Source organism: Homo sapiens, chromosome 4 (assembly GCF_000001405.40).
Source record: "Homo sapiens chromosome 4, GRCh38.p14 Primary Assembly".
Classification (NCBI taxonomy): Eukaryota; Metazoa; Chordata; class Mammalia; order Primates; family Hominidae; genus Homo; species Homo sapiens.
Window position 1 is genome coordinate 18686351 of NC_000004.12, and position 12973 is coordinate 18699323.

At 38.6% G+C, this 12973-nt stretch overlaps 1 long non-coding RNA gene across 3 annotated transcripts in view, besides 2 other annotated features; it reads left to right on the forward strand.

Moving 5' to 3' along the window:
- Positions 1–12973, forward strand: part of LOC105374510 (uncharacterized) — a 428164-nt gene that overhangs the window by 274550 nt on the left and 140641 nt on the right. The window lies entirely within an intron of this gene.
- Positions 5318–6251: an enhancer, noted in NCBI's record as "OCT4-NANOG-H3K27ac hESC enhancer chr4:18693291-18694224 (GRCh37/hg19 assembly coordinates)". NCBI's record gives its function as "activates a minimal SCP1, AML or CMV promoter by ChIP-STARR-seq in naive H9 embryonic stem cells {active_cell/tissue: H9 hESC(naive)}" and the evidence as "EXISTENCE:reporter gene assay evidence [ECO:0000049][PMID:30033119]".
- Positions 12143–12222: an enhancer, noted in NCBI's record as "active region_21360". NCBI's record gives its function as "activates an Ori minimal core promoter by ATAC-STARR-seq in GM12878 lymphoblastoid cells {active_cell/tissue: GM12878}" and the evidence as "EXISTENCE:reporter gene assay evidence [ECO:0000049][PMID:35858748]".

The following is a 12973-nucleotide window of genomic DNA, read 5'->3' on the forward strand; positions in this document are numbered from 1 at the left end:
GAAACCCAAGAAGATGGCTTATGTGCTTCAAAAATGAACCCAAAAAATCATCAATAAATGACTTTTCCGGAGATCGGAAACATTAGCTCCCTTCCTGTGCTAGGGAGAAGAGAGTGATTCTATTTTCGATGCTTTGTTGATTTAGAAATCATGCCAGGTTCAGATGTGGTCAGCAAACTGTGGACTAGATATTGCTGGAGGCCTGATTTTGTGTGACTAAAGAGCCAAGAGTGGTGTTTACATTGTTAGAGGTATAAGGAAGAAGAAAGAGGAGGGGGAGAAGGAGAGAAGGAGGAGGAGGAGGAAGAGGAGAAACAGAGATCAGATATGGCCTGCAAAACTTAACATACTTATTATTTGGCTCTTTACAAACAAATTTGCCAACTCCAGGACTAGAAGAAAGAATATATGCACTAAAATCAAACTCTTTAACAACACTGGTGCTGCGCACCATCTGTACAACTCAGGGATGATTACTTTGACTTTGAACCTAGGTGTCGTCACCTGGGGAGCACTGCACACCCAGCTTCTCCTCCAAAGAGAATTCTTGCAGGAAAGAAACGTGTGTAACTATATTAAGTACAGCATCTAAAAAGGGCATCAACATAACAACGAACATACTTTAAAGATTCTATTAATAGAAACTTTAAAAATAAGCAAAACTCTGGTAGGTGTGTGGAGTATAGTTACTGTTTTGTTGATGAGTGCTGGTTACATGGGTATCCCTGCTTATGAAAATTCATCAAAATTTGTGTTCCCTTAGGAACACTTTTTGAAATGTGAATTACACTATATTAAAACATATTTTAAATGACATCTAACTGAGAAAACTTTTGAAACTTCAAGAAAAACCTTTTGTTTTTCTTGAAGTCTACCAATAAAATAATATCTGAGGGGAAGTTTGTGTTCAACAAAAAAAGGGAACAGGATGAGATGCGCTAGTTTGGCTTAATCAAACCAAACCATTCTTTACATTGACTTGCAGCCCAGTGTTTTTTCCACTTCACCATGATATTTCATCTCTTCTGGACCTGGAGAGGTAAACACCTGTGGGATGGTGGTGACCAACAGGGCATTTAACTGAAGCTTTGTCTATCTGATGTCCCAGTAACGACCAGCTCCTAACAATCTGCCCCTACCCACTCCCTCCTCATATCTGGTTCTGTCCACATGTAAACACATACTCTGGTCACATTAAACTATTCCTTTTCCTGATCATATCAAGATGCCTCACAATTCTGACCTTCATACATTCCATTCCTGCTCCTCAAAATACCATCAGCTTTATAAAAAACTGCTTAATTTACTTCAGTAATACAGAAGAATTTTATACATAGTTTATTAAAAATAACTTTGGGAAGCTGTACTTTGATCAGCAATAAAACTATTGAAAAGATAAGGTTATCAAATAATTACCCCATGTTAATCCTGAAAATAATTGTTATAAGCCAATCTTGTAAATTCAAGACCAGGCACATCATAAATAATCACAAAAATTAGAAACATACTCAAAATATCCGTATGTTTAGTATACATAGAAAATTCACTGACTGAAATAAATCATGAAACATGGACTGGAATTTTGTGGGCTCTTAAACTTCATTTTGTCCCTATTGTTTTAAAATGTCAATGGTTTGGACCATTTCTGCATTTGTTAAAACTGTAACCTTAAAATTTTTTTAAAAAATAACTTTACAAACACATAAATATGCTTAATCACTAACTTGGGAAACTTCTGTTGCTCCAAATCAAGTATTTCTCTTTGTCTATGAAACTTTCTCTAGCCAGCATCATGACTGCTGACCGATTTCCACTGTGTATGTTATGCGTGCTTCTATGAGGGAGTCCATGACACATACATAATTATTTATTTGTATTGTAGCAGGACAAACCACAGACAAAACCCTTCAGACACCGAGTTAAAGAAGGAAAGGTTTTATTCAGCCGGGAGCTTCGGCAAGACTCACGTCTCCAACAACTGAGCTCCCTGAGTGAGCAATTCCTGTCCCTTTTAAGGGCTCACAACTCTAAGGGGCTCTGCGTGAGAGGGTCGTGATCTATTGAGCAAGCAGGGGATACACGACTAGGGGCTGCATGCACCAGTAATCAGAACGGAATAGAACAGGACAGGGATTTTCACAATGCTTTTCCATACAATGTCTGGAATCTGTAGATAACATAACCGGTTAGGTCAGGCGTCGATCTTTAACCAGGCCCAGGGCATGGCGCTGGGCTGTCTGCCTGTGGAATTCATTTCTGTCTTTTAGTTTTTACTTCTTCTTTCTTTGGAGGCAGAAATTGGGCATAAGACAATATGACGGGTGGTCTCCTCCCTTAGTATGTTTGCCTATCCTAGTACCTCAGACTTCTTGAAGAGAAGAAATGCCCTATCTCCCAGTGACTGATATCTAGTAGAGACTCAACATGCATTTGTTAAATAAATGACTTGAGAATCCTTATGACTTGAAGATAATGTTTTAAAATGACAGAAAATTATTTTTTCCATTTGTGTGATTCTTCCTAGTGAAGTAATACTCCTTCACAAATTGGTTAAAGCTTTCTTTTTAAAACATGTATTTATGTCAATGAATTTTAACACACACAGTGATATGATTTTCAAGACCAGTCAATTTTTTTTAAGAAACTCAATAGAAAAGTTAAAGACTCGATGAATTATACAAATATTTCAGATTATTATCTGACTATGCATTATTTCTTTCATGAAAGAAAGCCAAAAGCAAAAATGAAGCCAAAAGCAAATCATTTTTTAATGAACCATTGAAATTTAACCCCTGGAATAATTAACTAAAAAATAATATAGAATTTGTTTCATAGACTAACTGTGAATAGTTAAGAAGGTCTTCACTGAATAACCAGTGGTTTATATAGCAAAAATGTTGTTAGATAAAAGGAAAGAGTTAATCTTGTGCCTATTGAATAATACATTTTTGTGTTTGAGAACCCAGTTATTTTGATATTATTTAAAACACTGCCATTAGACTAATGTGAGCCTTTTTGAAAAAATCTTTCAACCCTCTTCCTTCAATTTCTCCGTCTATAAATACTTACAATATACTGCAACTCTAAAATAACTCAAGATTTAATTTAACCTATTTGTGTTGAGGAATGATCTGAGATGCGATACCCAAAATGCTCACTAGATGGCAGGGTTCCCATTTCAAAGGGAGCGCTACCTTGTTACAAAACAGTAAAGGCTTCCAACAAACAGAATTCGAAATGTGTTTATTTGTGTGGCTATAAATATAGCACATCTGATCCAATTTTCCACTGGGTTCCATGCTTTTCAGTGATTTTTCAGCCAGTTTTTTAAAAAGTCAGATTAAAGACGTTATTTGATATGCAGCCACATTCTTTCCAAATAATCAAAATTAATCCCTATTCCTTATTTTTAATCAGACATTGCATATCCATCCACAGTGTCTTTAGCTGAAAGAAATTATGAACCCATTTATTAAGTGGTGTGTGATTTTTGAACACAGTTTCGCCAAGCCCTCAGCATGTGTAAGTATGAATATCTCTGGAATTTATTTACAGTTCCAGAAAACCAAAGCAACACCTGCTAAACTTTGTTATATTCCTGACAGGGTGCTCACTGCTGTTTAAAAGCCATTCCTACTGTGGCCAGTTGTGACTGCCTGAGACCAAATATTCTCAAGGTAAATTGAACCGAATTTTCAGGCAAGGGAAGGTGCTTTGATCAACTAAGTAAATGTATGTGGTTAATCTTTGAAAAACAAATGGCATGCATACAGGCAAAGCTATTATTATTACCAGTTATCATGATTATTATTGTTGCTGACTATTTTATTTCTAAAACTTTCAGAGGAGTACTTTCCAAGAAATTTAAGATCAAGGAAAAGAAATGTATTTCTTCTAAATCTAACATAGCAGATTTGGTGTTTCAACCAAAAGAAATTTTTCCACTTGCATGGTTCATACTGAGCAACCTTTTATTAATATGAAAAAGGAATCTTCCAGACTTCCCTGAAAATTGCAAATTTGCTTATTCTCAATATTTATCATAAATTGCTAAACTTTCTGGCCTAAATTTAAATTATTTCAAGGCAGAGTCATTGGAAGCATAGCCCTGCCTTTCCATTTGCAAAGCAACACAACACTCTAAGAAGAATCCCTCTTAACATAAAACAAAGTGATATGTCATGTGGTCTTCAGGGTAAAATGTGAAACAAATATACCAAAATCTATCTTCCTTCCATTACAACAACAACAACAACAACAAAACTAGGTCACACTTGAAATCCCCCCGCCCTTGTCATGGACAGTAGCGTTTTTTAAATCCCTCTTCAGTCTCTGGGCAGTGTTTAGACACAAAGTATTTTAATATGTCATGAAGTCCCTGTCTTTCTGCCTAATCCTACTCTATCATAATGCATCTAGCACAATGGAGATGCATGCATGCTTAATTTCCATAAATTACACAGCCCTGCATTTTCATAAAGACAAATTCCAATTGTAAACTATTAAACCTAAGTCAACATCCTTTGATGTCTCTGAGAAAGATTGTGGGGGAAGTTTAAGCATTCCCACATGGGGATGTGTTCCCTAGAGTAGGTGAGGAGGGAGGTAATATTTTTTTTGCCCCTCATATCTCTTTATTAACTTGGATGTGTTCTTCTGAGGCTGAAGTGAGTTCCTTTACAGAAACTTAAAAAAAAAAACAAAAACACAACAAAACAAAACAAAAACACTGTGGGAAAACCAGCACCACACATCACTTCTCCCAAAAGCTAAACTCTTAATCAGAATCAAAAGAAACTCTGTTTCTCTGAAGCCATGGCTTGGTTTCAGCCTCTAAAGTGGGAACCAAGTCTAGCCGTCCCTAACCAATAGCCTTACTCTTTGGATTATCGAATGTTACTTTTTTTCTTTGTTTCGAAACTCTCTCCTTCAAGCTCTCTTATAACTATGTAGTTAGATCAAAGGGAATACCATCCAGACCTCTCCATTCAGGTACCATGGAGCTTTCATTATTTAGTTGTGGAATTTCCTCAACAGATCCTGTTCTCAGCATCCTGTTGACATAATTTAACATACAGGTTATAAAGACTTCTGTGAGCCTTCTCCCTTCCTGTTTACTTTCACTCCTCGGTGGAACCCAGGGCTCAGAAGCCGGCTCTTTTACATCTGAAAGCCGGATCACCTCCCCCCAAAGCAGGAAAGGTGTGAAAAGTAAGCAAGGGAAAGCAAGAAAGCAAATACAGTGGCTTTTTAACAGCGCTGCAGACCTGGCTCGGTCTGAGAGGTGATTCAGGGAGTGAGAATTCTGAGCAGGGGGCAGGATGGGGACCATGGATACATTTCTAGGTCCTGCTGGGTTGGTCCTTCACAGGGTGGCTTTGTTGTGAGATGTGACATGTTATGAATTCCTGGAACCCCACACACACTTGCATGCAAATGTAAGTTGATTTAAACACAAGAGGGGGCTCTCAGATTCAAGGCCACTAACCAGAACTAGTGAGATGGAAGATTTCTTAGTTCTGTAATTATTCCTGATGCACACCTCTGGGAAGAGGATGTCTTCCTAACTATATTTGCAAATGTTGGCTGGAAACCATGGGGGCCTGGCCAGAAATCGCCACGTGAGCCATCTCAGGTCCAGATAAGTCAAAATGTTGTAACAGAGGAATAGCGCCAAAGGGTATTTTAGCAGCAATTTGAACTTTGTAAGCACAATACAATGCAGCTGTTGAAGGTTCAGGGCTTGTGGCATGCAGTGGGGGTGAGCGCAAGGTGTTGGTGCAGGGGCAGTGTCAATGTGTCCACTGCCAAGTGATTTTGAAGCAGACATAGAGAGACCACAGATGATGGACAGAGCAGATGAGGAAATCCTTTATTTGCACGAAACTGCTGAAGGATGCAAATTTCAGAGCAGGTAGCACAACCTTTTCAGTTCCAGATGCCCCAGGAAAAAGATTTTCTTAAATCCATTTTGGCAAGCCAGCCACAAAAGGCCAGGCATGTGGACCCAGAAAGTATAGGGGTGAATAAGTGGTCAGTGTGTATTCCGGGTATCTGAATACCAGCTTAGGCAAACTACAGCCCCATCAATTCAATGCACACCTCTCTTTGTGAATTTACCTTGGGTATTTAGGTATAGTTTATGTGACATTTTTTGAAATTATCATCAAGAAAAAAACATATGTATATGTTTCTATACCTATACTCTTCCCGAATACAATGGAAACTAACATGGTTTTATTTTGCTACTTTCAAACCAAATCCCAATTTTTGTTGATAAAATCTGAAATTTAAAACCCATATTAATAGTAAATGTGTACTTTATATTGTGATTATAATGTTACCATTATAAATATATGAATATTTATATATTATGTTTTAGTTATAATTCTTTGCAAAAAGTATTGTCTCATGTGCTTTAAAGTGTATAAACTTTAATAATTCTTCAAACTTATAGTATATTTAGTTTTATTTCTCATTACTATATGTTTTTAATACCATAATGTCTCCATAGTTGATGTCTATATTTTGGTACCAATTAGAAGTGGGCTCTTTGAAAAATTTATTTTATTTTCTAAAAAATTTCACTTAAGGACATGATTTTGGCTGGAGTGATCCCAATTTCCATTTCATCAATTATATAAGGAGTTATATGTAGAAACTTGAGGTAATTAGTATAGTATTTTCAATTTATTCCAGTGATATTTTAGTACCCTTAAAAGATTGATGCTTACAAAATTATCTTTTAAATTTCCTGTGTGTGTGTGTGTGTGTGTGTGTGTGTGTTCATGTACGTGGTTAGGTACCATTGTAAAAGTACTTGAAGGCTATACTTTTATTCATTTCTCAGCTGACTGTGATGCAAATTGACTATTCTTTTTTTTTTTTTTTTTTACAAAGGGTATGGAAGGAAAGTGTACTTTGTAAATCTCCTATAAAGTTATGTTTCCTTTGTCCTGATACCAGGCAGCAACATAGCTTGTTGTAGAAATTTTGGGTCAAATGTTTGTTTACGCACAACACTAAAATCTCATTTATTTGACATATTTGCTGAATACCCATTGTCTGCTGGGCACCCTCCTAGGTTTTGCAGACTAGCGAACAAGACTGCAGATTCCTTATGTAGTTGAACTTGCATTATTGTAATTTAAAAGACAACTTTTACTTTCTTCCCCCTCCCTTCTTTCTCTTCCTTTTTATTTTGAGTGGGTGCATATAGAGATATTTTTCTCCTTTAGTTTTTTTTTTTTAATTATACTTTAAGTTTTAGGGTACATGTGTACAACGTGCAGGTTAGTTACATATGTATACATGTGCCATGTTGGTGTGCTGCACCCCATTAACTCGTCATTTAGTTTTGAATGTGAAAAATACTATTGAGTATATATGTGAGGATACTTCATTTTTTCCTAATTGTTCTTGTTTTGAGGAGGACCTTTCAAGATGGGAGGTGTTATATTAAATACATGTTACACACACCTCTTCATGTTTTATTTTAATCTTTTCTCTCATATATCATCCTTTATCCTTTCATTCTGACATATAGAATAATTTATTAGGCTACTCTCTCCTTTACTATTTTTTCTTCCATTCTATTCAATTACTATCTACATTGCAGTTTTTAGTTCATCAATGATATGCTTAATTGCTAGGTATTGTTTCCTGATCTTAGATAGTTATCTCTTCATGATTGCCTATTCCAGTCATTCTGTGCTGTGTGCCTTCTCTAATTTGTTAGAAATAAAATTTAGATATTTTTAAAAAATATGATTTCTTGCTGCAGCAGTGAGAAACACATGCACATTCCTCTGACTACTTTCTCTCTTTTAGAGAACACCTTTTTTTTTTTTTTTTTTTTTTTTTTTTTGAGGCAGAGTCTTGCTCTATCGCCCAGGCTGTAGTGCAGTGGCATGATCTCGGCTCACTACAACCTCTGCCTCCCGGGTTCAAGGGATTCTTCTGCCTCAGCCTCCCGAGTAGCCGGGACTACAGGCGTGCACCACCACACCCGGCTTTTTTTTTTATTTTTAGTAGAGACAGGGTTTCACCATGTTAGCCAGGATGGGCTCGATCTCCTGACCTCATGATCCGCCTGCCTTGGCCTCCCAAAGTGCTGGGATTACAGGCCTGAGCCACTGTGCCCAGTGGAGAACAGCATCTTTTATGTGTCTGAAAATTTCTCTCATTTTGCTCATGTTTACAAGGAGAGATTTCGGCTGGTTTTGTGTCGATTGTGTCGGTTAAAATGAATCCTGTCAGTGAGGCTTCCTGTCTGATTTTTACAGATCCAAATGAAGGGATAAAGAAAAAGTTTTAATTTACTCTAGATCCTCTTAACTATTTCTGAGATTCAGCAAGTATATGGTGGGGACTAAAAAGTGAACTAATCCTATAATTTCCTCTAGGCCAAGTCATTTCTTTGCCATTTTGTTGAGCCTCTCAGGGGTCCTCCTACATAATTCTCTATTCCTGACTATTGTTGTAGAGTTTTTATCTTTGTGGCCTCTGGGATCAGAAGTGCCACCACATCCACAGGGATCCTTGACAGTGACACAGTCCCGCTCAACTTCTCTACTTGACTTTCTGACTTGGTAGGAGAGGTTCTGTTAAGTTCTTTCACATTTTTCCCAGAACACAATGCTATCTCATCATATAAAAGGAGTTTCTACCCACTTTTCCGTTTAAGTGAGTTTATGCAAACTCTACTATGGCATAGACCATTAGTTCTTCCCTCAGTAACTTTCTGTATTTCTTCTATACAATTAGAAGCTTCAAATGCCACATAGATAACCAGCTAAAGACCTTATTCACCAGCTTCCCTTCCAGTAAATTTTCATCATGTAATTGGATTTAGGCAAGTGGTAGGAGAAAAAATGTGGTATATGCAATATCGTGCCTTGAAAAGGGATGTGTGTGTGTGTGTGTGTGCATGCACACACACGTAGAGAAAAGAACATTCTTTCTCTGTGTGTGTGTGTGTGTATATATATACACACACACACATGCACGAGAAAAGATATATATATATATATATATATATATATATATATATATAGTCCTATAAGATTAGGTGACTTAACTTCTGTGAACCCCCAGAACTTATTTAGAAACTGAGGCTGATCACAGTAACACACACCTCTACAGTTCATGGGTTTTTGTAAGAACTAATTGGGTAACTATATTCGATTTTATTTGATAAACTGTAAAATCTTATAAAAAGCCATTTGTTACAATTGGCTCTCACTATGTAACAGACTACCCATATTATTAATTATTATTAAGTAAATTTGTAACTTATGAAATGAAAATTTAAATTGTGCTTTTGCTTTTGTGTGTAATCCTGTCTTTATATTTTTGGATATATATATATATATTTTTTTTTTTAATAACTTTTGGGGTACAAGTGGTTTTTGGTTTTGTGAATGACTTGTATAGTGGGTACGTGGATGAATTGCATATGTATTCATATATATATATATATGAAACAGGAAAAGTTCCCTTGTCCCCCTCACAGGGTGTGTGATGGGGTGTTGCTGGCTTCTTTGGTGCCCTCCTGCTCAAACCTCTAGGGGGAGCATGCAGATGGACAGGCTGTGGGACTCCAACCCCATGGCAGCATCTAGGGTTGAGTGTTTAGAGCTTCTGAAGCCCCAGTGGGCGTGTGTTACCGTGCGCTCTTTCAGTTTAGCCATCCGTAGGCAGCTTGTGTTAATCAGCTCAATTAGACTCCCTGACTTATTGCAAGGACAGAGTGCTTTCTGAATCCTGGGGTTTCTTCCTTTGGTGTATTGGAAGGGATCAGAGGGCACGTGGGCTTAGAGAATGAGTGCAAGGTTTTATCGAGTGGAAGTAGCTCTTAGCAGATGGAGGAGCCAGAAGGGAGATGGAGTGGGAAGGTGGTTTTCCCCTGGAGTCAGGCTGCTTAGCGGCTGGGCTCTCCTCCAACCGCCCCAGCCAAACGCCACATCGTTCCGCCGGTCGATGGCCTTCCAGTGCCTCTCTCTCCATGTCCAGCCGCTTGTCTTCTTCCGCTGGTGTGTTCCTCTTGACGTCCAGCTGCTTGTGTGTGTGCCTGCTAGGGTCTCCGGGTTTTTTATTGGCACAGGATGGGGGTGTGGCAGGCCAGGGTGGTCTTGGGAAATGCAACATTTGGGCAGGAAAACAGAAATGCCTGTTGGCACCTAAGTCCACGGGCACAGGCCCTGGCCAGAGCCCTAACCAGGAACCACAACCTCCTCTACCCAACACTTCCCTGAATCCTTTCCATATCAATATGTATATGTGTGTGTGTGTGTGTGTGTGTCTATATATATATATATATATATATATATATATATATATGGAGAAAAAGAATATATATACATACTCCTTTTCTCTCCTTTTTCTGTTCAGTGGAATTTGCATGTGGTGGAAGGAACTAAAATAGTGTCAGAGCCAAGAGAAAAGTTCCCCTTTGCCTGCTGAAGGTTCACTGAAAAATCAACTCACAGAATGACATACAAGTTTATTTAACATGTACACACAGGAGTCTTTAGAAGGAAAAGCCAAAGATACAGGGGAAATCGTCTATTTTATGCTTAGATTCAACAAACTATGGACAGCTGTGTAGACATATCACTGGACAAAAAGGGTGTGATCCAATTCTAATAGACTGAGTTGGGAAGCCCAGCGAGGCCTGTGTGTCCAGATTCTTCTTGGCCCCTCTGAGCATGCATTTCTTTCTTCTGGGTGTGGGCCAGGACCCTCTCTAGAATGGGGGTCTTATGACCTACAGCCAAATAAGGTGAGTTAGGTCATTTCCTTGTAGTTTTTACACAGAAAGTTATAGAAGAACTTACACCAGTATTACTCGGTTTTATGGCTGGTTTGGGGGGAAACGCGGTTCTGGTTTCAGTGATCTGCCTTGGGGAAGAAGGATTCTAGGTTTTATGGGTAGCCTTTGGGGAGAATGGGACTGAGAGACTGGAGGGCAGGAGAATGTCAGAGAAAAACTTTGGTTTTTGAGGCTGCTTCTGAGGGCTTCATTTTAAGATATTGTTTTGGGGTATTTTTTGGGTATTGTTTTCCGAAGTCCCATCATTAGTCATTTTAAACCACCAAATGGGGAGCTGCATATTAAAGATGACAGAACAATACGACAGAATAAGCCTAGGTTCCACAGGGGAGAAAAGATTCCTTTTCTTACCCATCACAAGTTTCATAGCTGAGATCCCCCATAACCAAAGGCAGATGGACAAGAGTAAAACATTCAGATTTACTTGATATAACTTTTATGTGACATGGGAGGCTTTAGTATAAAGATCTGTGTAAGAGAGGAAAACTTTTTATGAACACGTGCAGAAGTCAGAGTGGAGGGCTTGAAAAGGGGTATAGTCTAATGGTAATACACGGCGGGGGTGGGCGAGGAACTTAGCAATGTCTGTTCAGATTCTTCTTGGTGTCTCTGTGTGGCATTCCTTCCCTCTGGGTACAGGGCAGGACACTTGTCATGTGAGAGTCTTCAGGGAAGAAGAGAGAGAAAGGCCAGAGAGTGACTTTCATAGGTTTTATAACCTGCTTCAGGAGAGAATGGTGAGAGAAGGCTGGAAAGACCTTTCTGCTTCTGTTTTTTTTTTTTTTTAAATGCCAAGGTGGGATATTGTGGGTAGCATACCCTGAACAATTTCAGAAGTGTGCAACTGTATATCACAACTGTGTAGGGCCCCAAAACATTTTCCTCCCCTATCTGAATGAAGATTCTATAATCGAGTCTGCTGAAATGAACTGACAATAGACAAAGCTGGGGTAAAGGCATACAAATGTATTGTGTGCATAAACACGAGAGTCACACAAAATATGAGGTTCAAAGAGGGGACCAGGTGGCAGAAACTTAAGTAGAAAGAAACGGGGGCCTCTGAGAGGGAGGGGAGGTGGTGACACATACCATGGAAGGATAAGGAGAGAAACAATGGTGAGCAAAGGCTGTCTTATTACGCAGATCAAGTTTCTCAGGTAACAGCCCTTAGAAAAGTAGCTGAAAGAAGAAGTGAAAAGTCTGTCCTGGCGTGTTGTCCTGGGCCTGGCGACTTTTAGTTTCCTTTCCTGCAATACAAATTAATCTTCCCTGGTCAATAAGATTTCAGACAGGAGATTGAAGGCAATCGTGTTTCTTTTGGAAGAATTTCCCTCAGTCAGATAAGGAAATTTCAGGGACAGCTCCTCCCTGCACTTGGTAGGAGAAACTAGGGAGGGTCAGAGAGTCCTTGATTCCAAAGCAGCTTTGAAAGCTCTCATTTCCTTTAGTTCTTCGTGCTGAGCGTGCCAAAGCACCAAACGTTGGGGTATCATTTTCTGAGCCCAACACCTGGCCTGCTTACCTCTGGACTGCTGTGTGAGTGAGAAACAAACCTTCCGATTGTGTATGTGCTCTTATACTGGTCTTTATCACCTTGACTGGAAATCTCTTTGCATGGCACCCTGCCCTGGTTTCTGGTAGTGAGGTAGGTAATTATGTCTATCATTTCTTGTGGAATCTGGACAACATCACCACCTCCTCTCACTCCTGAAATGATTTCAAAGCTAAGACAATGTCACTTTACCAGCGATTGGTTTCTCCTCTCCCTTCCTGATTTTTGCATACTACTATAGTATGATCAAGAGGTAGTGCTTTTATTCATTATTCATTGATGAAACACACATTATTTAGAATTTGCTACTATCCAGGCTTCACTAAGTACCAAGTTAATTCAGGATTCCTTAAATAATTTATCATTTAACAGAGGGAGATGGAAGTATTAAAAAGTAAGCACACTAAAGCCAAAGAGAGGCACGTCCAGGTGACAGTGAGAACGTAGAGGAAGGGTGTTGACTCAACATAGCTCATACTGCTCTTATATACTTTTAAAGGAATTCATATCATTTTAATATCCCATTTCTATGATGCTTCCATCACATAAGCTGATTTTTGCCCTCTCTTTGTTGTGAGGAATAGATA